The sequence below is a fragment of the Homo sapiens genome, chromosome 2, assembly GCF_000001405.40.
Source record: "Homo sapiens chromosome 2, GRCh38.p14 Primary Assembly".
Lineage (NCBI taxonomy): Eukaryota > Metazoa > Chordata > Mammalia > Primates > Hominidae > Homo > Homo sapiens.
The window spans coordinates 238,529,777-238,555,659 of record NC_000002.12 but is presented as its reverse complement, the minus strand read 5'-3'; the positions used below and the strand labels follow the sequence as shown (position 1 = coordinate 238,555,659).

Below are 25,883 nucleotides of genomic sequence, written 5' to 3'. Positions count from 1 at the left end.
TAGTCTTATGAGGGGAATTTGTGTTTTCTTACATTTCTTCTTGGTTAACAAGTTAGTAGATTATCTATTCGATTTTTCTAGAGTCAGCTCTCAGGCTTCATTTATCAATTCACTTGTTTCCATCTTTGAATTCATTATTTCTGCTGTTATCTGTAGTCCTTACTTCTGCTTTCCTTGGGTTTGTTTGTCTTTCATTTCAAGTGATTTCTTAATTTCCTTTAACAGTTTTTAAACTGTGGAATTATTTTCTCAGTATAGTCCAAGCTACATCTAATAAGCTCTAGCATGTAACTTTTTCTTTTTTGTTCTTTTCTAAATATTGTGTCACTGCTGATTTGGTTTTTCTCTTTTATCCATGAGATGACTGTTTTAAGTTCCCAGGAAGCGAGTCTTCTTGTTCCAATTTATTCCTGAATTTTTATTTTGACTGTCATTACACTGTAGTTAGGAGATGTGACCTCTACTGTCTCCAGCATTTAGAATGTATTGCGGATCCAGGGACACAGCAAGTCAGGTGGGCTCTGTCGCAAGGATGGTTACAACATAGACTACTTCCATGTCAGTCTTCCATTATTTGCATACTCGAGACCCTGATGTGTTGGCTAATTTGCCAAGAAACCCCCGCAGCAGACTGCGTCCGCAGGGCAGGGCTGAGTAGCAGGGGCAGCACCTCTCACAGGGGCAGGGCCGCTTGCCCAGCCTTGAGGAAGGGGGACCCAGACATTGCCTTTCTCAATACTGAGCCCCTAAACAGGATTTCTGGTCTGGGGTCTGGGACTAGGCTATCTGGACAGTCAAACTCTTCCCACTGCGCCATCAGCCCCACTAGGAAAGAAAGAGGAGAAATTAGGGCTTTGCTTTAAAGAGTTCAACGGTCAGAATATGTCCCCCGCAAACGGACATGCTGGAATCCTCATCCCCAAGTGAGGGCGGGGCCTCACATTAGGAGGTGATGAGGTCACAGAGGCAGAAACCTCACGAACGGGATCAGGCTCATCAAAGAGGCCTGAGAGACGACACCTACCAGCTGGAAGGCGGTTCCGCACCAGACACCGAAGCTGCTGGGCCTTCGACCTCGGACCTCCGTCTTCCAGAACTGTGAGCCACACATTCCTGATGCTCCTAAGCCACGCCGTGTACGGTATTTTGTTACGGTAGCCCAAATGGACCAAGATAGGAGCTAAAGGTAACTGACCACACCTCCAGCCCACCCGCAGAGCTAACAGACAGGCCCTCAGCTGCAGGCCTGGGGTAGAAGGGCTGCCAAAGGGGCTGTGGGGGTGACGGGGGGGCCGCATCCCTGTGGCCCCACTTGGCACAGGGGCTTTGACTCACTGCTGGAGCTGCCAGGCTTTGAGTGGACAGGCCTGGCCTGGGAGGGGGGCAGCAGCGGCAGAACGCACCTTGGACAGAGGACCAGGTCTCTCCCCTTTGTCCAGAAAGAAGTCCCCATGTTGAGTTCAAGGGAGGGGTGAGGCTTCAATTGAAAAAAAAAATAATAATAATGTCAGACTTGCTACCAGTCTTTGCATATGGACGTTTTGGCTAAATTTTATTTGATTTGGAGGGAAAAGGTAATGTGACATCATCCACACTCTGAGTAATACGGAGCAATTATTACCTGTTAAGCCCACTTACCTTCGTCTCCAAAACCTACCAGGGACTGGGAGATTAAGAGTGCCCACAGCTGTAGTGCCGCCAGTTTCTCCCTGTGGTTCCAATCCCACTTCAAATATTTTTTTTTTTTTTTGAGACGGAGTCTCGCTCTGTTCCCCAGGCTGGAGTGCAATGGTGCAATCTCACTACAACCTCTGCCTCCCGGGTCCAAGTAATTCTCTGCCTCAGCCTCCCGAGTAGCTGAGATTACAGGCACCCTCCACCACACCCAGCTAATTTTTGTATTTTTAGTAGGGATGGGGTTTCACCATCTTGGCCAGGTTGGTCTCGAACTCCTGACCTCATGATCCACCCGCCTTGGCCTCCCAAAGTGCTGGGATTACAGGCGTGAGCCAACACGCCCGGCCTCTCAAATAAATATTAATACTGTCTATTATATTTAGTTTTATGGAAGTATATAACTTCATTATGGATTGAACATTTTATCAACAAAAAGAAACACTCTTCATGCAGTTTTTCCTCTTTGAACTCAAATTTTCTAGTATTAATATCGTGACTCCTACTTCACTCTGGGTTTTATTTTCTTTTTTATTTACTTGGAAATATTCTCATGATTCTGTGTTCATTTTTCTTATTGTAAACACACAAAAAGTCTTTGGGCTTATGTGGCCCCCGAGAGTCTTTTTCTTAAAATGGGTAAATTTATCCCATTTACATTTATAATTATAATTGATACATTTTGTCTTATACGATCTTATTTCAATCTCCTGGTGGAATGCTTCCTAGGGGTTTTCTTCCATTGTTGTTTTACATATTGTTAGGTTGTCTTCTTTCTCTCTGTCCTCTCCTATACCTTGGAAGAATACAGTCATCGTTGTTGTTTTCATTGTAATTCTTTTTTATATAAATATAAGGAAATGAATACGGGGAGAAGTTAATTCTGCTGAGTGGAGTGGGATGTCCAAAGGATCATGAGGAAGCTAAAGTGCAGTGGCCCCATAACGGCTCATTGCAGCCCAGAACTCCTGGGCTCAAACGGTCCTCCTGCCTCAGCCTCCCAAGCAGCTGGGACCACAGGTGCACAGACCTACACCCAGCTAATTTTTTTTTTTAATTTTGTAGAGAGGGGATCTCTCTATGTTGCCCAGGCTGGTCTCAAACTCCTGGCCTCAAGCAATCCTCCCACCTTGACCTCCCAAAGTGCTGGGATTCCAAGCATGAGCCACCACACCCAGCCTTAATTCTTTTTATAACTTTAAAAATACTTCTTATCCTGTGTTTCTGAACGTTATGATCTACTGTAACAAAACAAAGTGAATAAGTTAGCAGAATTACACTTATTCCAACTTCCCTAGCATCCTATTTTTGGTTGGTATTCTCTGCACATTTTTTGCCATTTTGGTTAATCTGTTGTGATTTTTATCTTATTAAAATTATTAACATTTATTCAGAAAATACTTATTGATTATTCCCTAAGTTCCAGGTTATGTTGCTGCTAGTGGCTCAGTCATACACAAAACAAAATATGTCCTCGGAATAAATAATCTGTCCTCAGAGAGACTGCGGTCTAGAAGGGAAGAGAGATGTGACTAATTCCACAATAGACGTGTAGTCTGCCTTGGTCTGTTCAGCTGCTATAACAAAACGCTATGAACTAAGTAGCCTGTAAATAATAAAAATTTGTTTCTCACAGTTCTGGAGCCTGAAAGGCCAAGATCAAGGCAGACTCATTGTGTGGTGAGGGCCATTTTTCCGGCTCATAAACAGTGCTTTCTTCCTGTGTCCTCACATGGTGGAAGGGACCAATAAGCTCTTTGGGGCCCCTTTTAGAAGGGCACTAAGCCCATTTATGAAGGCACCATCCTCATGAGCTACTCACCTCCCAGAGGCCCCATGTCCTAATAGTATCACCTTAAGGGTTAGAATTTCGATATATGAATTTATAGGGGCTGGGGGGTCACAAACATTCAGATTGCAATATAAAACTTTTCAGCTTCTTAGAGAGTGACACTTACCTTATCATTGGTGGCACTTTACAATCTCCATCAGCCACATGGAAACCTGATTAGATTAGTGATCAGGGAAACGTTTATGTTCTGATGTGTGTCCAGACTCAAGACTATTATTTGGACTTAATTTCACATTTAAACGAATTCCCTGCTCACCATCCACCCTTTCTTTGTCCAATCCATGTTTAGTTTATGATTTGGATTCATCTTTTGGTTGGCTGAAATAATTCTTCATGTAGTAGTAATAGCTGTTGCTGTTGATTACATTGTTTAATTGAGAAAGTGCATACACAGGAAACAAGTTCTCCTACATGAGATATTGTCTTCTGCTGCCTTATACAAGCAGGAACTTTGGCTAAGAGAAAATCTTGGGTTCACAGACTCTTCACCTGAAGAATTACAAATACTGGCCTAACACAATGTTCAGATAGTTCTGAGGCCAGCCTCACAAGTTCCTTTAGTAAATGATCCTTTTCTTATCACTAGGTGCTTGTGAGATTCCACGCATCATACTAGAGGTGTGAGCACTGCACCTAAGGGTGCCTCGGATCATCCCTGAGATGCAGGCACTGCACCAGGAGGTGTCTTGGATCATTCCTGAGGTGTGAGCACATCATCAGAAGGTATGTTGAATCATCCCTGAGGTAAGAGCACTGCACCAAAGGGGTCTTGAATCATCCCTGAGGTGTGAGCACTGCACCAGATGTCTTGGATAATCCCTGAGGTAAAAACACTACATCAGGAGATGTCTTGGGTGATCCCTGAGGTTCAGGCACTGTGCCAGAATGAATCATCAGAAGAAGGAGCATTACACCAAGAGGTGTTTTGGATCATACCTGAGGCGTGATCCTCCTTGAGGTGTGATCACTGTAACAGGAGGTGTCTTGGATCTTCCCTTCGGTGTGATCACTGCACCAGGAAGTGTCTTGGATCATCCCTGAGGTGTGAGCACTGTAACAGGAGGTGTCTTGGATCCTCCCTGAGGGGTGAGCACTACCCCAAGAGGTGTCTTGGATCATGCCTGAGGTGTGATCACTGTACCGGGGGTGTCTTAAATCATCCCTGAGGGGCGAATACTGTAAGAGGAGGTGTTTTGAATATTCCCAGAGGTAAGAGCACTACACCAGGAGGTCTTTGGATCATCATACCTGAAGTGTGAACATTTCACCCTTAAATGTGTGAACCTTATATAAGGTGTGAACATTTCACACATTATATCATGCCTGAGGTGTGATTCATGCACCAGGAAATGTTTTGTATCATCCCTGAGGTGCAGGCACTGTACCAGTAGGTCTCTTGGATTATGCCTGAGGTGTGACCACTGCACCAGGAAGTGTCTTAAATAATCTCTGAGGTGGGAGCACTCCACAAGGAGGTGTCTTCGTTCATCCCTGAGCAGGGACTACTCCACCAGGAGGTTTTTTGGATAACCCTGAGGAGGGAGTACTACACCAGGAGGTACCTTGGATGTTAACTGAGTTATAACCACTGCATCAGGAGGTGTCTTAAGTAATCTCTGAGGTGGAAGCACTACACCAGAAGGTGTCTTGGATCATCCCTGAGGTGCAGACACTGCACCAGGAGATCTGTAGGACTATGCCTGAGGTTTGAGCACTGCACCAGGAAGTGTCTTTTATCAACCCTGAGTTGGGGGCACTGCACAAGGAGGTGTCTTGGATCATCACTTAAGTGGGAGCACTGCACCTCCAAGTGTCTTGAATCATGCCTGACATGTGAGCACTGCACCAGCAGGTGTCTTGGCTAATTCCTGAGGAGGGAGTACTGCACGAGGAGGTGTCTTGCATCACAAGTGAGGTGTGAGCACTGTACCAGGAGGTGTCTAGGATCATCCCTGAATTGAGAGCACTGCACCAGGAGGTGTCTTGGAGCATCCCTGAGGTGGGAGCACTGCACCAGGAAGTGTCTTGCATGTTGCATCATCCCTGAGGTAGGAGCACTACACCAGGAGGTATCTCAGATCATTCCTGAGGTGGGAGCACTTCACCAGGTGGTGTCTTGAATCATCGCTAAGGTAAGAGCACTGGACCAAAGGGGTGTGAATCATCCATGAAGTGGGAGCACTGCTCCAGGAGCTGTCTTGGATCATCCCAAGGGAGAGAACACTACTCCAGGAGGTGTCTTGGGTCATCCTTGAGGTGTGAGCACTGCACAAAGAAGTGTCTTGTATTATGCCTGAGTGTGAGCACTGTGCCAGGAGGTGTCTTGGATCATTCCTGAAGGCTGAGCACTGTACCAGCAAGTATCTTGGATCATCTCAGAGGTGTGAGCATTGCACCAGGAGGTGTCTTGGATCATCCCTGAGGTAGGATCACTGCACCAGGAAGTGTCATGAATCATCCCTGAGGTGTGAGCACTGCACCAGGAGGTTTCTTAAATAATCTCTGAGGTGGGAGCGCTGCACAAGGAGGTGTCTTCATTCATCCCCAAGAAAGGACTACTGCACTAGGGGGTTTTTTGGATAACCCTGAGGAGGGAGCACTGCACCAGGAGGTATCTTGGATGATAACTGAGTTGTAACCACTGCACCAAGAAGTGTCTTAAATAATCTCTGAGGTTGAAGCACTACACCAGGAGGTGTCTTGGATCATCCCTGAGGTGCAGACACTGCACCAGGAGATCTGTAGGATTATGTCCGAGGTTTGAGCACTGCACCAGGAAGTGTCTTTTGTCAACCCTGAGTTGGGAGCACTGCACCAGGAGGTGTCTCAGATCATCACTTAGGTGGGAGCACTGCACCTGCAAGTGCCTTGGATCACGCCTGACGTGTGAGCACTGCACCAGCAGGTGTCTTGGCTCATCCCTGAGGAGGAAGTACTGCAAGAGGAGGTGTCTTGCATCACACCTGAGATGTGAGCACTGTACCAGGAGGTGCCTAGGATCATCCCTGAATTGAGAGCATTGCACCAAGAAGTGTCTTGGATGTTGCATCATCCCTGAGGTAGGAGCACTACACCAGGAGGTATCTCGGATCATCCCTGAGGTGTGAGCACTTCACCAGGAGGTGTCTTGAATTATCCCTAAGGTAAGAGCACTGCACCAAAGGGGTCTTGGATCATCCCTAAAGTGGGAGCAGGGCACCAGGAGATGTCTTGGATCATCCCCGGAAAGAGAGCATTACACCCGGAGGTGTCTTGGGTCATCCTTGAGGTGTGAGCACTGCACCAAGAGGTGTCTTGTATTATGCCTGACTGTGAACACTGCACCAGGAGGTGTCTTGGATCATTCCTGAAAGTTGAGCACTGTACCAGCAGGTATCTTGGATCATCTCAGAGGTGTGAGCATTGAACCAGGAGGTGTCTTGGATCATCCCTGAGGTAGGATCACCGCATTAGGAAGTGTCTTGAATCATCCCTAAGGTGTGAGCACTGTAACAGGAGGTGTCTTGGATCCTCCCTGAGGTGTGAGCACTGTATCAGGAGGTGTCTTGAATCATCAGAGAAAAGAACACTACACCAAGAGATGTCTTGGATCATGCCTGAGGTGTGAGCACTGTAGCAAGACGTGTCTTGGATCATCCAGGAGGTGTGAGCACTTCACCAGGAGGTCTTTGGATTATCATACCTGATGTGTGAACGTTTCACTCAGAAGTGTCTTATATCATGCCTGAGGTGTGATTCATGCACCAGGAGGTGTTTTGTACAATCCCTGAGGTGCAGGCACTGCACCAGTAGGTCTCTTGCATTATGCTTGAGGTTTGAGCACTGCACCAGGAAGTGTCTTTAATCATCCCTGAGGTGTGAGCACTGCACAAGGAGGTGTGTTAAATAATCTCTGAGGTGGGAGCACTGCACAAGGAGGTGTCTTCATTCATCCCCCGGAAGGGACTACTGCACCAGGAGATTTTTTGGATAACCCTGAGGAGGGAACACTGCACCAGGCGGTATCTTGGATGATAACTGAGTTGTAACCGCTGCACCAGAAGGTGTCTTAAGTAATCTCTGAGGTGGGAGCACTACATCAGGAGGAGTCTTGGATCATCCCTGAGGTGCAGACACTGCACCAGGAGGTCTGTAGGATTATGCCTGAGGTTTGAGCACTGCACCAGGAAGTGTCTTTTATCATCCCTGAGTTGGGAGCACTGCACCAGGAGGTGTCTTGCATCACGCCTGAGGTGTGATTACTTTACCAGGAGGCATCTAGGATCATCCCTGAGGTGGGAGCACTGCACTGGGAAGTGTGTTGCATGTTGCATCATCCCTGAGGTAGGAGCACAACACCAGGAGGTATCTTGGATCATTCCTGAGGTGTGGGCACTTCGCCAGGAGGTGTCTTCAATCATCCCTAAGGTAAGAGCACTGCACCAAAGGGGTCTTAACTCATCCCTGAGGTGGCAGGAGATGTCTTGAATCATCCCTGGGGAGACAGCACTACTCCAGGAGGTGTCTTCGGTCATCCTTGAGGTGTGAGCACGGCACCAAAAGGTGTCTTGTATTATGCCTGACATGTGAGCACTGCACTAGCAGGTGTATTAGCTCATCCCTGAGGAGGGAGTACTGCACAAGGAGGTGTCTTGCATCACACTTGAGGTGTGAGTGCTGCACCAGGAGGTGTCTAGGATCATCCCTGAATTGTGAGCACTACACCAGGAGGTGTCTTAGAGCATCCCTGAGGCGGGAGCATTTCACCAGGAAGTGTCTTGCATGTTGCATCATCCCTGAGGTAGGAACACTACACCAGCAGGTGTCTTAGATCTTTCCTGAGGTGGGAGCACTTCACCAGGAGGTATCTTGATTCATCCCTAAGGTAAGAGCAGTGCACCAAAGGGGTCTTGGTTCATCCCTTGGGGGGGGAGTACTACTCCAGGAGGCATCATGGGTCATCCCTGAGATGTTAGCAGTGAACCAAGAGGCATCTTGTATTATGCCTGAGTGTGAGCACTGCACTTGGAGGTGTCTTGGATCATTCCTGAAGGTTGAGCACTGTACCAGCAGGTATCTTGGATCATCTCAGAGGTGTGAGCATTGCACCAGGAGGTATCTTGGATAATTGCTGAGGTGGGATCACTCATCAGGAAGTGTCTTGAATCATCCCTTAGGTGTGAGCACTGTAACAGGAGGTGTCTTGGATCCTCCCTGATATGTGAGCACTGCACCAGCAGGTGACTTGAATCATCAGAGGAAAAAGCACTACATCAAGAGGTGTCTTGGATCCTCCCTGAGGTGTGAACACTGCACCAGGAGGTGTCTTGAATCATCAGAGGAAAGAGCCCTATACCAAGAGGTGTCTCGGATCATCCCTGAGGTGTGAACATTGCACCTGGAAGTGTCTTATCATGCCTGAGGTGTGACCCATGTACCAGGAGGTCTCTTGTATCGTCTCTGAGGTGGGATCACCACACCATGAGGTGTCTTGAATCAGGCACAGCACCAGGAGATCTCTTGGATCGTTCCCTGAGGTGGGAGCACTGCACCAGGAGGTGTCTTGGATCATCGCTCAGGTGTGAACACTGCACCAGGAAGTGTTTAAAATCATGCCTGAGGTGTCAGCACTGCACCAGGAGGTGTTTTTGATCATTCCTAAGGTGCAGGCACTGCACCAGGAGATCTCTTGGATTATGCCTGAGGTTTGAGCACTGCACCAGGAAGTGTCTTTTATCATCGCCGAAGTGTGAGCACCGCACCAGGACGTGTCTTCGGACATCCCTGAGGTGTATGCACTGCACCAGGAGTTGTCTTGCATTATTCCTGAGGTCAAAGCACTGCATCGCAAGTGTCTTGGATCGTGCTTGATTGTGCCTGGCCAGGAAGTGTCTTAACTCATCCCTGAGGAGGGAGTATTGTAAAAGGGAGTATCTTGGATCATCCCTGAGGTGGGAGCACTGCATCAGGAGGTGTCTTGGATTATCCCTGTGGGTTGAGCACTACACCAGGAGGTGGTTTGGATCACCCCCAAGGTGCACAAGGAAGAGTCTTGTATTATGCCCGAGTGTGAACACTGCACCAGGTGGTTTTTTGGATCATTCCTAGGTATGAGCACTGCACCAGGAGGTATCTCAGATCATGCCAGAGTTGTGAGCACTGCATCAGGAGATGTTTCGGATCATCCCTGAGGTTTGAGCACTGGACTAGAAGGGGTCTTGGATAACGCCTGAGTGTAAGCACTGTACCAGGTGGTTTTTTTATATCATCCCTAGGTGTGAGCACTGCACCAGGAAGTATCTTGGATCACATCTGAGTGTGACCACTGCACCAAGGGTTGTCTTAAATCATATCTGAGTTGTGACCACTGTACCAAGAGGTGTTTTGGAGCATCCCTGAGGTGTGAGCACTGCACCAGGAAGTTTCTTGGATCATGCCTGAGTTATGACCACCGCACCAGGAAGTGTTTTGGAACATCCCCGAGGTGTGAGCACTGCACCAGGAGGTGTCTTAGATCATGTGTGAGTGTGAGCACCTCACCAGGATGTACCTTGGATCATGCCTGAGTTGTGAGCACTGCATCAGGACGTGTTTTGGATCACCCTTGAGGTGTGAGCACTGCACCAGGAATTGTCTTGGATCATTCCTGGGTGTGAGCACTGCACCAGGAGGTGTTTCAGGTCATCTATAAGGTGTGAGCACCACACCAGGAGGTTTCTTGTCTTATGCTTGAGTGGGAGCACTGCACCAGAAGGTATTTTGAATCATGCCTGAGTTGTGAGCACTGCATCAGGAGGTGTTTTGGATCATCCCTGAGGCATGAGCACTGGACCAGGAGGTCTGCTGGATTATCCCTGAGTTGCAAGCACTGCACCAAGATGTGTCTTGGATCATGCCTGAGTGTGAGCACTGCAGCAGGTGGTTTTTTTTTATCATCCCTAGGTGTGAGCACTGCACCAGGAAGTATCTTGGATCATGTCTGAGTTGTGATCGCTACACCAGGAGGAGTCTTAAATCATATCTATGTTGTGAGCACTACACCAAGAGGCATTTTGGAGCATCCCTGAGGTGTGAGCACTGCACCAGGAGGTGTCTTTGATCACGCCTGAGTTGGGAACACTGCACCAGGTGTTTTGTAACATACCTGAGGTGTGAGCACTGCCTTGGATCATCACTGAGGTGTGATCACTGCAGCAGGAGGTGTCTTGGATCATCCCTGTAATGTGAGAACTGCACAAGGAGGTGTTTTCAATCATCCCTGACATGGGAGCCCTGCACCAGATGTCTTGGATCTCCCCGGGGAGAGAGCACTACTTCAGGCAGTGTCTTGGGTCATTTTTGAGGTGTGAGCATTGCACCAGGAAGTGTCTTGGATTATCCCTGAGGTAGGATCACTGCACCGGGAAGTGTCTTGAATCATCTCTGAGGTGTGAGCACTGTAATAGGAGGTGTCTTGGATCCTCCCTGAGATGTGAGCACTGTACCAGGAGGTGTCCTGAATCATCAGAGGAAACAGTACTACACCAAGAGATGTCTTGGATCATGCCTGAGGTGTAAGCACTGTATCAAGACAGGTCTTTGATCATCCCGGAGGTGTGAGCACTTCACCAGGAGGTCTTTGGATCATACCTGATGTGTGAACATTTCACCCAGAAGTATCTTATATCATGTCTGAGGTGTGCCCCATGTACCAGGTGGTGTTTTGTATCATCTCTGAGGTGCAGGCACTGCACCAGTAGGTCTCTTGGATTATGCCAGAGGTTTGAGCACTGCTCCAGGAAGTGTCTTTTATCATCCCTGAGATGTGAGCACTGCACCAGGAGGTGTCTGAAATAATCTCTGAGGTGGGAGCACTGCACAGGGAGGTGTCTTCATTAAACCCCAAGAAGGGACTACTGCACCAGGAAGTTTTTTGGATAACCCTGAAGAGGGAGTACTACACCAGGAGGTATCTTGGATGTTAACTAAGTTGTAACCACTGCATCAGGAGGTGTCTTAAGTAATCTCTGAGGTGGGAGCACTACACCAGAAGGTGTCTTGGATCATCCCTGAGGTGCAGACACTGCACCAGGAGATCTGTAGGATTATGCCTGAGGTTTGAGCACTGCACCAGGAAGTGTCTTTTATCGTCCCTAAGTTGGGAGCACTGCACCAGGAGGTGTCTTGGATCATCACTTAGGTGGGAGCACTGCACCTGCAAGTGTCTTGAATCATGCCTGACGTGTGAGCACTGCACCAGCAGGTGTCTTGGCTAATTCCTGAGGAGGGAGTACTGCAAGAGGAGGTGTCTTGCATCACACCTGAGGTGTGAGCACTGGACCAGGAGGTGTCTAGGATCATCCCTGAATTGTGAGCACTACACCAGGAGATGTCTTAGAGCATCCCTGAGGCGGGAGCACTGCACCAGGAAGTGTCTTGCATGTTGCATCATCCCTGAGGTAGGAGCACTACAACAGCAGGTGCCTTGAATCTTCCCTGAGGTGGCAGCACTTCACCAGGAGGTATCTTGAATCATCCCTAAGGTAAGAGCACTGCACCAAAGGGGTCTTGGATTATCCCTGGGGAAGGAGGACTACTCCAGGAGGTGTCTTGAGTCATCCTTGAGGTGTGAGCACTGCACCAAGAGGTGTCTTGTATTATGCCTGAGTGTGAGCACTGCACCAGTTGTTGTCTTGGATCATTCCTGAAGGTTGAACACTCTACCAGCAGGTGTCTTGAATCATCTCAAAGGTGTGAGCATTGCACCAGGAGGTGCCTTGAATCATTCCTGAGGTAGGATAACTGCATAAGGAAGTGTCTTGAATCATCCCTGAGGTGTGAACACTGTAGCAGGAGGTGTCTTGGATCCTCCCTGGGATGTGAGCACTGCACCAGCAGGTGTCTTGAATCATCAGAGGAAAGAGTACTACACCAAGAGGTGTCTTGGATCATCCCTGAGGTGTGAACATTGTACCCAGAAGTGTCTTATCATGCCTGAGGTGTGACCCATGCACCAGGAGGTCTCTTGTATCGTCTCTGTGATCAGATCACTACACGATGAGGTGTCTTGGATCAAACCTGAGGTGCAGGCACTGCACAAGGAGGTCTCTTGGATCATCCCTGAAGTGGCAGCACTACATCAGAAGGTGTCTTGGATCATCCCTCAGGTGTGAACACTGCACCAGGAAGTGTCTTCAATCGTGCCTGAGGTGTCAACACTGCACCAGGAGGTGTTTTTTATCATCCCTAAGGTGCAAGCACTGCACCAGGAGGTCTCTTGGATTATGCCTGAGGTTTGAACACTGCACCAGGAAGTGTCTTATCATCCCTAAAGTGTGAGCACTGCACCAGGACATGTCTTGGGTCATCCCTGAGGTGTGTGCACTGCACCAGGAGTTGTTTTGCATTATTCCTGAGGTCAGAGCACTGCATCACAAGTGTCTTGGATCATGCCTGATCATGACTGACAAGCAAGTTTCTTAACTCATTCCTGAGGAGGGAGTACTGTAACAGGGGGTATCTTAGATCATGCCTGAAGTGTGAGTACTGCACCAGGAGGTATCTTGAATCATCCCTGAGGTGGTAGCACTGCACCAGGAGGTGTCTTGGATCATCCCTGTGGGTTGAGCACTACACCAGGAGGTGGTTTGGATCATCCCCGAGGTGTGAGCACTGCACCAGGAAGTGTCTTGTATTATGCCTGAGTGTGAACACTGCACTAGGTGTTTTTTGGATCATTCCTAGGTGAGACCACTGCACCAGTAGGTATCTCGGATCATGCCAGAGTTGTGAGCACTGCATCAGGAGATGTTTTGGATCATCCCTGAGGTGTGAGCACTGGATTAGAAGGTGTCGTGGCTCATGCCTGAGTGTGAGCACTGTACCAGGTGGTTTTTTAGGATCATCCTTAGGTGTGACCACTGCACCAGGAGGTATCTTGGATCATGTCTGAGTGTGATCACTGCACCAAGGGATGTCTTAAATCACATCTGAGTTGTGATCACTGCACCAAGAGGTGTCTTGGAGCATCCCTGAGGTGTGAGCACTGCACCAGGAGATGTCTTGGATCATGCCTGAGTTGTGACCACTGCACCAAGAGGTGTTTTGGAGCATCCCTGAGGTGTGAGCACTGCAACAGGAGGTGTATGAGTGTGAGTACCTCACGAGGATGTACCTTGGATCATGTCTTAGTTCTGTGGGCACTGCATTAGGATGTGTTTTGGATCACCCTTGAGGTGTGAGCACTGCACCAGGAATTGTCTTGGTTCATCCCTGAGAGTGAGCACTGCACCAGGTGTTTGGGGTCATTTATAAGGTGTGAGCACCACACCAGGAGGTTTGTTATATTATGCCTGAGTGTGAGCACTGCAGCAGGAGGTATTTTGAATCATGCCTGAGTTGTGAGCATTGCATCAGGAAGTGTTTTGGATCTTCACTGAGGTGTGAGCACTGGACCAGGAGGTCTCATGGATCATCCCTGAGTTGCGAGCATTGCACCAGGAAGTGTCTTGGAGCATCCCTGAGGTGGGAGCACTGCACCAGAAAGTGTCTTGCATGTTGCATCATGCCTAAGGTAGGAGCACTACACCAGCAAGTGTCTTGGATCTTTCCTGAGGTGGGAACACTTTACCAGGAGGTATCTTGAATCACCCCTAAGGAAAGAGCACCACACCAAAGGGGTCTTGGATCATCCCTGGGGAGGGAGCACTACTTCAGGAGGTGCCTTGGGTCATCCTTGAGGTGTGAGCACTGCACAAAGAAGCATCTTGTATGATGCCTGAGTGTGAGCACTGCACCAGGGGTTGTCTTGGATCATTCCTGAAGGTTGAGCACTGTACCAGCAGGTATCTTGGATCATCTCAGAGGTGTGAGCATTGCACCAGGAGGTGTCTTGGATCATTCCTGAGGTAGGATCACTGCATCCGGAAGTGCCTTGAATCATCCCTGAGGTGTGAGCACTGTAACAGAAGGTGTCTTGGATTCTCCATGAGGTGTGAGTCCTGCACCAGCAGGCATCTTGAATCATCAGAAGAAAGAGCACTGCACCAAGAGGTGTCTTGGATCATCCCTGAGATGTGAACATTGCCCCTGCAAGTCTTATCATGCCTGAGGTGTGACCCATGCACCAGGAGATCTCTTGTATTGATGCTAAGGTGGGATCACTGCACCATGAGGTGTCTTGGATCAAACCCGTGGTGCAGGCACTACACAAGGAGGTCTCTTGAATCATCCCTGAGGTGGCAGCACTACATCAGAGGGTGTCTTGGATCATCCCTCAGGTGTGAACACTGCACAAGGAAATGCCTTAAATCATGCCTGAGGTATCAGCACTGCACCAGGAGGTGTCTTGCATTATTCCTAAGGTCAGAGCACTGCATCGCAATGTCTTGGATTGTGCCTGATCATGTGTGACCAGCAAGTGTCTTAACTCATCCCTGAGGAGGGAGTACTATAACAGGGGTATCTTGGATTATGCCTGAAGTGTGAGCATGCACCAGGAGGTGTCTTGAATCATCCCTGAGGTGGAAGCACTGCACCAAGAGGTGTCTTGGATCATCCCTGTGGGTTGAGCACTACACCAGGAGGTGCTTTGGATCATCCCTGACGTGTGTGCACTGCACCAGGAAGTGTCTTGTATTATGACTGAGTGTGAACACTACACCAAGTGGTTTTTGGGATCATTCCTAGGTGTGACCACCACACCAGGAGGTATCACGGATCATGCCAGAGTTGTAAGCACTGCATCAGGAGATGTTTTGGATTATCCCTGAGGTGTGAGCTTTGGACCAGGAGGTGTCTTGGATCATGCCTGAGTGTGAGCACTGCACCACATGGTTTTTTTGGATCATCTGTAGGTGTGAGCACTGCACCAGGAAGTATCTTGGATCATGTCTGAGTTGTGATCACTGCGCCAGGAGGTGCCTTAAATCATGTCTGAGTTGTGAGCACTGCACGAAGAGGTGTTTTGGAGCATCCTTGAGGTGTGAGCACTGCACCAGGAGGTGTTTTGGAACATCCCTGAGGTGTGAACACTGCACCAGGAAATGTCTGGGATCATCCCTGAGTGTGAGCACTGCACCAGGAGGTGTTTGGGGTCATCCATAAGGTGTGAGCACCACACCAGGAGGCTTGTTGTATTATGGCTGAGTGTGAGCACTGCACCAGGAGGTATATTCAATCATGACTAAGTTGTGAGCACTGGACCAGGAAGTGTTTTGGATCATCCCTGAGGTGTGAGCACTGGACCAGGAGGTCACCTGGATCATCCCTGAGTTGTGAGCCTGCATCAGGTGGTTTTTTGGATCATACCTAGGTGTGAGCACTGCACCAGGAAGTATCGCTGATCATGTCTGAGTTGTGATCACTCACCAGGAGGTGTCTTAAATAATATCTGAGTTGTGATCACTGCACCAGATGGTGTCTTGGATCATCGCTGAGGTGTGACCACTGCAGCAGGAAGTGTCTTGGATCATCGCTGTGGTGTGAGAACTGCACAATGAGGTGTTTTCCATCATCCCTGAGGTGGGAGCACTGCACCGGGAAATGTCTTGGATCACCTCTGGGGAGAGAGTACAACTCCAGGAGGTGTCTTGGGTCATCTTTGAGGTGTGAGCACACACCAAGAGGTGTCTTGGATCATTCCTGCAGGTTGAGCACTGTATCAGCAGGTATCTTGGATCATCTCAGAGGTGTGAGCACTGCACCAGGAGGTGTCTTGGATCATCCCTGAAAGTTGAGCACTGTACAAGCAGGTATCTTGGATCATCTCAGAGGTGTGAGCATTGCACCAGGAGGTGTCTTGGATCATCCCTGAGGTAGGATCACTGCACTAGGAAGTGTCTTGAATCATCCCTGAGGTGTGAGCACAGTAACAGGAGGTGTCTTGGATCCTCCCTGAGATGTGAGCACTGCAGCAGGAGGTGTCTTCAATCATCAGAGGAAAGAGCACTACACCAAGATATGTCTTGGATCACGTCTGAGGTGTGATCGCTGTAACAAGAGGTGCCTTGAATCATCCCTGAGGTGTGAGCACTGTACCAAGACGTGTCTTGGATCATCCAGGAGGTGTGAGCACCTCACCAGGATCATCATACCTGACGTGTGAACATTTCACCCAGAAGTGGCTTATGTCATGCCTGAGGTGTGATTCATGCACCAGGAGGTGTTTTGTATCATCCCTGAGGTGCAGGCACTGTACCAGTAGGTCTCTTGGATTATGCCTAAGGTTTGAGCACTGCACCAGGAAGTGTCTTTTATCATCCCTGAAGTGTGAGCACTGCACAAGGAGGTGTCTTAAGTAATCTCTGAGGTGGGAGCACTGCACAGGGAGGTGTCTTCATTCATCCCCCAGAAGGGACTACTGCACCAAGAGGTTTTTTGGATAATCCTGAGGAGGGAGCACTGCACCAGGAGGTATCTTGGATGATAACTGAGTTTTAACCACTGCAGCAAGAAGTGCCTTAAATAATCTCTGAGGTGGAAACACTACACCAGGAGGTGTCTTGGATCATCCCTGAGGTGCAGACACTGCACCAGGAGGTCTGTAGGATTATCCCTGAGGTTTGAGCACTGCACCAGGAAGTGTCTTTTATCATCCCTGAGTTGGGAGCACTGCACCAGGAGGTGTATTGGATCATCACTTAGGTGGAGCATTGCACCTGCAAGTGCCTTGGATCATGCCTGACGTGTGAGCACTGCACCAGCAGGTGTCTTGGCTCATCCCTGAGCAGGGAGTACTGCACGAGGAGGTGTCTTGTGTCACACCTGAGGTGTGAGCACTGTACCAGGAGGTGTCTAGGATCATCCCTGAATTGTGAGAAGTGCACCAGGAGGTGTCATGGAGCATCCCTGAGGTGGGAGCACTGCACCAGGAAGTGGCTTGCATGTTGCATCATCCCTGAGGTAGGAGCACTACACCAGCAGGTGTCTTGGATCTTTCCAGAGGTAGGAGCACTTCACCAGGAGGTATCTTGAATCAACCCTAAGGTAAGAGCACTGCACCAAAGGGGTCTTGGATCATCCCTGGAGTGGGGGGAACACTACTCCAGGAGGTGTCTTGGGTCATCCTTGAGGTGTGAGCACTGCACCAAAAGGTGTCTTGTATTATGCCTGATTGTATTATGCCTGAGTGTGAGCATTGCACTTGGGGGTGTCTTGGATCATTCCTGAAGTAGGATCACTGTCTCAGGGAGTGTCTTGAATCATTCCTGAGGTGTAAGGATTGTTACAGGAGATGTCTTGAATCATCAGAGGAAAGACCACTACACCAAGTGGTGTCTTGGATCATCCCTGAGGTGTGAACTTTGCACCCGGAAGTGTCTTATCATGCCTGAGGTGTGACCCATGTACCAGGAGGTCTCTTGTATCATCCCTGAGATGGGATCACACACCATGAGGTGTCTTGGATCAAATCTGAGGTGCAGACGCTGCACAAGGAGGTCTCTTGAATCATCCCTGAGGTGGCAGCACTGCACCAGAAGGTGTATTGGATCATCCCTCAGGTGTGAACACTGCACCAGGAAGTGTCTAAAATCATGCCTGAGGTGTCAGCACTGCACCAGGAGGTGTTTTTGATCATCCCTAAGGTGCAGGCACTGCACCAGGAGGTCTCTTGGATTATGCCTGAGGTTTGAGCACTGCATCAGGAAGTGTCTTTTATCATCCCTGATGTGTAAGCATTGCACCAGGAGGTGTCTTGCGTCATTCCTGAGGTGTGTACACTGCACCAGGAGTTGTTCTGCATTATTCCTGAGGTCGGAGCACTGCATCACAAGTGTCTTGGATCGTGCCTGATGGTGCCTGACCAGCAAGTGTCTTAACTCATCCCTGAGGAGGGAGTACTGTAACAGGTGTCTTGGATCATCCCTTGGAGTGCAGCACTACACCACCAGGTGCTTTGAATCATCTCTGAGGTGTGAGCAGTGCACCAGGAAGTGTCTTGTATTATGACTGAGTGTGAATACTTCACCAGGTAGTTTTTTGGATAATTCCTAGGTGTGACCGCTGCACCAGGAGGTATCTCGGATCATGCCAGAGTTGTGAGCACTGCATCAGGAGATGTTTTGGATCATCCCTGAGGTGTGACCACTGGACCAGGAGGTGTCTTGGATCATGCCTGAGTGTGAGCACTGTACCAGGTGGGTTTTTTGTATCACCCCTAGGTGTGAGTACTGCATCAGGAAGTACCTTTGATCATGTATGAGTTGTGATCACTGCACCAGGACATGTCTTAAATCATATCTGAGTTGTGATCACTGCACCAAGAGGTGTTTTGGAGCATCCCTGAGGTGTAAGCACTGCACCAAGAGGTGTCTTGGATCATGCCTGAGTTGTGACCACTCCACCAGGATATGTTTTGGAACATACCTGAGGTGTGAGCACTGCACCAGGAGGTGTCTTAGATTATGCCTGAGTGTGAGCACCTCACCAGGATGTACCTTGGATCATGCCTGAGTTTTGTGGGCACTGCACCAGGATGTGTTTTGGATAATCCCTGAGGTGTGAGCACTGCACCAGGAAGTGTTTTGTATTATGCCTGAGTGTGAACACTGCACCAGGTGGTTTTTTGGATGATTCCTAGGTGTGACCACTGCACCATCATCATGCCAGAGTTGTGAGCACTGCATCAGGAGATGTTTTGGATCATCTCTGAGGTGGGATCACTGTACCAGGGGTGTCTTGAATCATCCCTGAGGGGTGAACACTGTGACAGGAGGTGTCTTGAATCATCCCTGAGGTAAGAGCACTGCACCAGGAGGTCTTTGGATCATCATACCTGAGGTGTGAACATTTCACCCAGAAGTGTCATATCATGTCTGAGGTGTGACCCATGCACTAGGAGGTGTTTTGTATCATGCCTGAGTTGTGACCACTGTACCAGAGGGTGTTTTGGAACATCCCTGAGGTGTGAGCACTGCACCAGGTGGTGTCTTGGATCATCTCTGTAGTGTGAGAATTACACAAAGAGGTGTTTTTAATCATCCCTGGGGTGAGATCACTACACCAGGAATTGTGTTGGATCATGCCTGAGTGTGAGCACTGCACCAGGAGGTATTTTGAATCATGCCTGAGTTGTGAGCACTGCATCATGAGGTGTTTTGGATCATCCCTGAGGTGCAAGCACTGCACCAGGGGGTGTCTTGGATCATCCCTGATGTGTGAGCACTGCACCAGGAGATGTCTTGGATCATCCCTGAGGTGTAAGCACTGCACAAAGGACTGTCTTGTATTATTCCTGAGTGCAAACGCTGCACCAGGTGTCTTTTTGGCTCATTCCTAGGTGTGACCACTGCACCAGGAGGTATCTCAAGTCATGCCAGAGATGTGAGCACTGCATTAGAAGATGTTTTGGATCATCCCTAAGGTGTGAGCACTGGACCAGGAGGTCTCTTGGATCATCCCTGAGTTGAGAGCACTGTTCCAAGAGGTGTCTTGGATCATGCCTGAGTGTGAGCACTGCACCACGTGGTTTTTTTGGATCATCCCTAGGTGTGAGCACTGCACCAGGAGGTATCTTGGATCATGTCTGAGTTGTGATCACTGCACCAGGAGGTGTCTTAAATCATATCTGAGTTGTGAGCACTGCACCAAGAGGTGTTTTGGAGCATCCCTGAGGTGTGAGCACTGCATGAGGTGGTGTCTTGGATCATCCCTGTAGTGTGAAAACTGCACAAGGAGGTATTTTCCATCATCCCTAAGGTGGGAGCACTACACCAAGAAGTGTGTTGGATAATGCTTGAGATGTGAGCACTGCACCAGGAGGTGTCTTAGATCATGCCTGAGTGTGAGCACCTCACCAGGATGTACCTTGCATGATGCCTGAGTTGTGTGGGCACTGCATCAGGATGTGTTTTGGATCACCCTTGAGGTGTGAGCACTGTACCAGGAATTGTCTTGGATCATCCCTGAGTGTGAGCACTACACCAGGAGGTGTTTGGGGTCATCCATAAGGTCTCAGCACCGCACCAGGTTTCTTGTATTATGCCTGAGTGTGAGCACTGCACCAGGAGATATTTTGAATCATGTCTGAGTTGTGAGCACTGCATCAGGAGGTATTTTGGATCATCCCTGAGGTGTGAGCATTGCACCAGGAGGTGTCTTGGATCATCCCTGAGGTGTGAACATTGCACCCAGAAGTGTCTTATGTCATGCCTGCAGTGTGAGCACTGCACCAGGATATCTAGGATCATCCCTGAATTGTGAGCACTAAACCAGGAGGTGTCTTGATTCATCCCTGAGGTGTGAGCACCTCACCAGGAGGTATCTTGGATCATCCCTGAGATGTGAACACCTCACCAGGAAGTGTCTTGGATCATGTCTGAGTTGTGAGCACTGCACCAGGACGTGTCTTAAATCATCTCTGAGGTTTGAGCACTACACCAGGAGGTGTCTTAAATCATGCTGAAAAGTGACCACTGCACCAGGAGGCATCTTGGATCATGTCTCAGTTGCAACAGGAGGTGTCTTGGATCATCCCTGTGGTATAAGCACTGCACCAGAAGGTGTCTTGGATCAACCCTGGGATGGAGGCAGTGCACCAGAAGGTGTCTTGGATCATCCCTGATGTGGGAGCACTGCATCAGGAGATCTCTTGGATCATCGCTGAGGTGTGAGCACTGCACCAGGAGGTATCTGGAATGATTTTTGAGGAGAGTGTAGCGCACCAGGAGGTATCTTGGATCTACCCTGAGGTGTGAGCACTGCAACAGGAAGTGTCTTGGATCATCCCTGAGGTGTGAGCACTGCAACAGGATGTGTCCTCAATCATCCATGAAGGGGGATCACTGCACCAGGAGGTGTCTTGTATCATTGCTGAGGTGGAAGCACTGCACAAGGAAGTGTCTTAGATCAACCTGACTTGTGAGCACTGCACCAGAAGGTGTCTTGGATCATTGCTAAGATGCAAGCAATGCACCAGCAGATGTCTCAGATCGTCCTTTAGGTGGGAGCGCTACACGAGGGGTGTCTTGGATCATCCCTGAGGAGGGAGCACTACACCAGGAGGTGTCTTGGATCATTTCTGAGGTGCAGGCACTGCATCATGAGGTGTCTTGGATCGTCGCTGAAGTGTAAGCACTGCACCAGGAGGTGTTGTGAATCATCGCTGAGGTGTGAGCACTGCACCAGTAGGTGTCTTGGATCATCCTTGGGGTGTGAACATTGCATCAGGAGATGTCTCAGATCATCCCTGAGGTGCAGGCACTGTACCAGGAGGTATCTTGAATCATTTCTGAGGTGCAGGTGCTGCACCAGGTGTCTTGAATCAGCCCTGAGGTGTGAGCACTACACCAGGAGGTGTCTTGATTCATCCCTGAGGTGTGAGCACTGCACCAGGTGTCTTGATTCATCTCTGAGGTGTGAGCACTGCACCAGGAGCTGTCTTGAATAACTTCTGAGGTGTGACCATTGTACCAGGAGGTGTCCTGTATCATCCCTGTGGAGGGAGCACTGCACCAGAAGGTGTATTGGATCATCCCTGAAGTGTGAACACTACATCAAAAGGCATCACGAATCATCCCTAAGGCTTGAGCACTGCACCAGGAGGTGTCTTTGATCATGCCTGAGATGTATGCACTGCACTAGGAGGTGTTTTGGATCATCCCTAGGTGGGAGCACTACCCCAAGAGGAGTCTTGGATCATCTTTGAGGTGGGAGTACCACACCACGAGGTGTCTTGGATCATCCCTGAGGTGGAAGCACTGCACCAGGAGTTGTCTTGGATCATTCCTGAGGTGTGAGTACTGCACCAGGAGGTATCTTGTATCATCCCCGAGGTCAGAGCACTACACCAGGAGATGTTTGGATCAAACCTGACATGTAGGCACCGCACCAGAAGGTCTCTTGGATGATGCCTGAATTGTCAGCACTGCACCAGGAAGTGTATTTTATCATCCTTGAGGTCAGAACACTGCACCAGCAAGTGTCTTGGATTCTGCCTAAGGTGTGAGCACTGCACAAGCAGTTGTCTTGGCTCATCCCTAAGAAGGGAGTACTGTGCCAGGGGGTGTCTTGGATTATGCCTGAGTTGTGAGCACTGTATCAGGAGGTGTCTTGGATCAGCCCTGAATTGTGAGCACTGCACAAGGAGGTGTCTTGGATCATCCCTGAGGTGGGAGCACTGCACCAGGAGGTGTCTTCAATCATCCCTGAGGTGTGAGCACTGCACCAGGAGATGTCTTGGATCATCCCTGAGGTAGGATCACTACACCAGGAGGTTTCTTGGATCATTTCTGAAGTGTGAGCACTGCACCACAAGGTGTCTTGAATCATCCCTGAGGTAGGACCACTACACTAGGAGATGTCTTGGGTCATCCCTGAGGTGTGAGCACTGTACCAGGAGGTGTCTTGGATCATCCCTGAGGTGCAGTGATATGGTTTGGTCATGTCCCCACCCAAATCTCATCTTGAATTGTAGCTCCCATAATCCCCACATGTCATAGAAGGGACCCTGTGGGAGGTAACTGAATCATGGAGGGAGTTACCTCCATGCTGTTTTCATGACAGTGAGTGAGTTTTCAGATCTGATGGTTTTATAAGGAGCTTTTCCCCCATTTACTTGGCACTTCTCCTTCCTGCCATCCTGTAAAGAAGGATGTGTTTACTTCCTTCCACTTTGATTGTAAGTTGTTTGAGGCCTCCTCAGCCCCACAGAACTATGAGTCATTTAAACCTTCTTTCTTTATAAATTACCCAGTCTTGGGCAGTTCTTTATAGCAGTGTGAGATCAGACTAATAAACACCCCCATGATTTAATTACCTCCCACCAGGTCCCTCCCATGACACATGGGGATTATGAGAACTACAATTCAAGATGAGATTTGGGTGGGACACAGCCAAAACATGTTATTCCATTCATGGTCCCTTTAAAATATGTCCTCACATTTCAAAACACAATTATGTACTTCCAACAGTCCCCCAAAGTCTTAATTCATTCCATCATTATCCCCAAAGTCCAAATCTAAAGTCTCATCTGAGACAAGGCAAATTCCTTCGCCTATGAGCCTGTAAAATCAAAAGTGAGTTAATTACTTCCAAGATACAATGGAGATACAGGCATTGGACAAATACACCCATTCCAAATGAGAGAAATTGGCCAAAACAAAGAGGCTCCAGGCCCCACCCAAGTCCAAAATCCAACAGGGCAGTAACCAAACCTTAAAGTTCCAGAATAATCTCCTTCAACTCCATGTCTCACATCAGGTCACGCTGATGCAAGAGGTGGGCTCCCATGGCCTTGGACTGCTTCACCCCTGTGGCTTTGCTTTCACAAGATGGCATTGAGTGTCTGAGGCATTTCCAGGTGCACAGTGCAAGCTGTCAGCGGATCTACCATTCTGGGGTCTGAAGGACGGTGGCCCTCCTCTCACAGTTCAACCGGGCAGCACCCCCATGGGGACTCCCTGTGGGGGCTCCAATCCCACATCTCCCTTCTTCAATGCCCTAGCAGAGGTTCTCCATGAGGGCTTTGCCCCTACAGCAGACTTCTGCCTGTACATCCAGGTATTTCCATACATCCTCTGAAATCTAAGCTGAGGTTCCCAAACCTCAATTCTTGACTCCTGTACACCCACAGGTCCAAGACCACGTGTAAGCCACCAAGGCTTGGGGCTTGCACCCTCTGAAGCAACAGCCTGAGCTCTATGTTGGCCCCTTGAGCCACAGCTGGAACTCACTATCACCAAATCCCTATACTACACAAAGCAGCAAGGCCCTAGGCCTAGCCCGTGAAACCCTTTTTTCCTCCTAGGCCTCTGGGCCTGTGATGGGAGGGACTGCTGTGAAGAACTCTGACATGCCCTGGAGACAGTTTCCCCATTGTCTTGGTGATTAACATTTGGCTTTTCGTTACTGATGCAAATTTATCTAGCTGGCTTGAATTTCTTCTCCAAAAATGGGTTTTTCTTTTCTATCGCATCATCAGGCTGCAAATTTTCCTAAGTTTTATGTTCTGGTTCCCTTTTAAACATAAGTTTTAATTCCAAACCATATATTTGTGAGTACATAAAACTGAATGCTTTTAACAGCACCCAAGTCACCTCTTGAATGCTTTGCTGCTCAGAAATTTCTTCTGCCAGATACCCTAAATCATCTCTCTCAAGTTCAAAATTCCACAGATCTTTAGGGCAAGGGCAAAATACTGCCAGTCTCTTTGCTAAAATGTAGCAAGAGTCACCTTTATTCCAGTTCCCAAAAAGTTCTTCATCTCCATCTGAGACCACCTCAGCCAGGACTTCATTGTCCACATCACTATCAGCATTTTGGTCAAAACCATTAAACAAGTCTCTAGGAAGTTCCAACTTTCCTGGAAGACATCTTCCTGTCTTCTTCTGAGCCCTCCAAACTGTTCCAACCTCTGCCTGTTACCCAGTTCCAAAGTCACTTCCACGTTTTTTAGTATCTTTATAGCAGCGCCCCACTACCCAGTATCAATTTACTGTTTTATTCCATTCTCATGCTGCTATGAAGAACTGCCTGAGACTGGGTAATTTATAAAGGAAAGAGGTTTAAATTACTCACAGTTCTGCAGGGCTGGGGACGCCTCAGGAAACTTACAATCATGGCAGAAAGCAAAGGGGAAGCGGGCACGTCTTCATGTGTCTGGAGAAGGAGGAAGAGAGCAAAGAGGGAGGTGCCACACACTTTCAAACAACCAGGTCTCCTGAGAACTCATTCACCATCACAAGAATGCAAGGGGGAAATCTGCCCCCATGATCCAATCACCTCCAACCAGCCCACTTCCCCAACACTGGGAATTACAATTCGACATGAGATTTGGTTGGGGACACAGAGCCAAACTATATCAGTGCTTAACCTCATTTGAGTTGTCACACGCAACCAGGAGGCTTGAATAACCCACTGCTTCCAGACTAGATGGCTTTCTGTGTGACCCCAAGAGAGACTCCCAGCCTCTGCTGATTCCTATGTAAAGTATGGGTTGGAACTGGATGGTATCGTAGGTTCCTTTAGCTCCGTATGATTCTCATGTAAAATTCCACCCAGCAGTCAGGCAAGAGGTGCACTGGGGAGAGGAGGTGGAACCCCCAGGTTGTTGATAAAATCCTGAAATCCCTTGGCTCTGTGCTTCAAACAGCCACCTTCCCAACATCTATGACTCTTTGAACTGCTCATAAAGAGCGCTGATTAATGTGACACTTCACATGCCCACCATGAAATTAGGAAGGCCCTTAGATCTCCTTCAAACCCGCGGTGCCGGTGCCTTCGCCCCATCAATCAGAGATGAAACTGTGATTGTGCTGCAAGGAGACGAGGCCATCCTGGAGTTCTGCCATGAAAGAATCGCTGGGACTCAAAGGAGGGGAAAACAAGGGAAGGAGAGAGGGGGAAAGGGAAAGAGAAGCTGCTTCCAGAAGGAATAAATTTGTGTGTGTACTTTGATCCT

At 48.8% G+C, this 25,883-nt stretch overlaps 2 long non-coding RNA genes across 2 annotated transcripts in view; both read left to right on the top strand.

Moving 5' to 3' along the window:
• The first annotated feature begins 160 nt into the window (after positions 1-160).
• Positions 161-25,883, top strand: part of LINC01107 (long intergenic non-protein coding RNA 1107) — a 44,810-nt gene continuing 19,087 nt past the window's right edge. The window contains exons 1-2 of the long non-coding RNA NR_037809.1: positions 161-1,186; positions 4,113-4,249. This is a non-coding gene — a long non-coding RNA (long intergenic non-protein coding RNA 1107). The remainder of the gene's footprint in view (positions 1,187-4,112; positions 4,250-25,883) is intronic.
• On the top strand, positions 12,496-25,879 carry LOC124906130 (uncharacterized). Its single transcript, XR_007088215.1, has 2 exons — positions 12,496-22,676; positions 23,684-25,879. It is a non-coding gene; the product is annotated as an uncharacterized LOC124906130 (long non-coding RNA).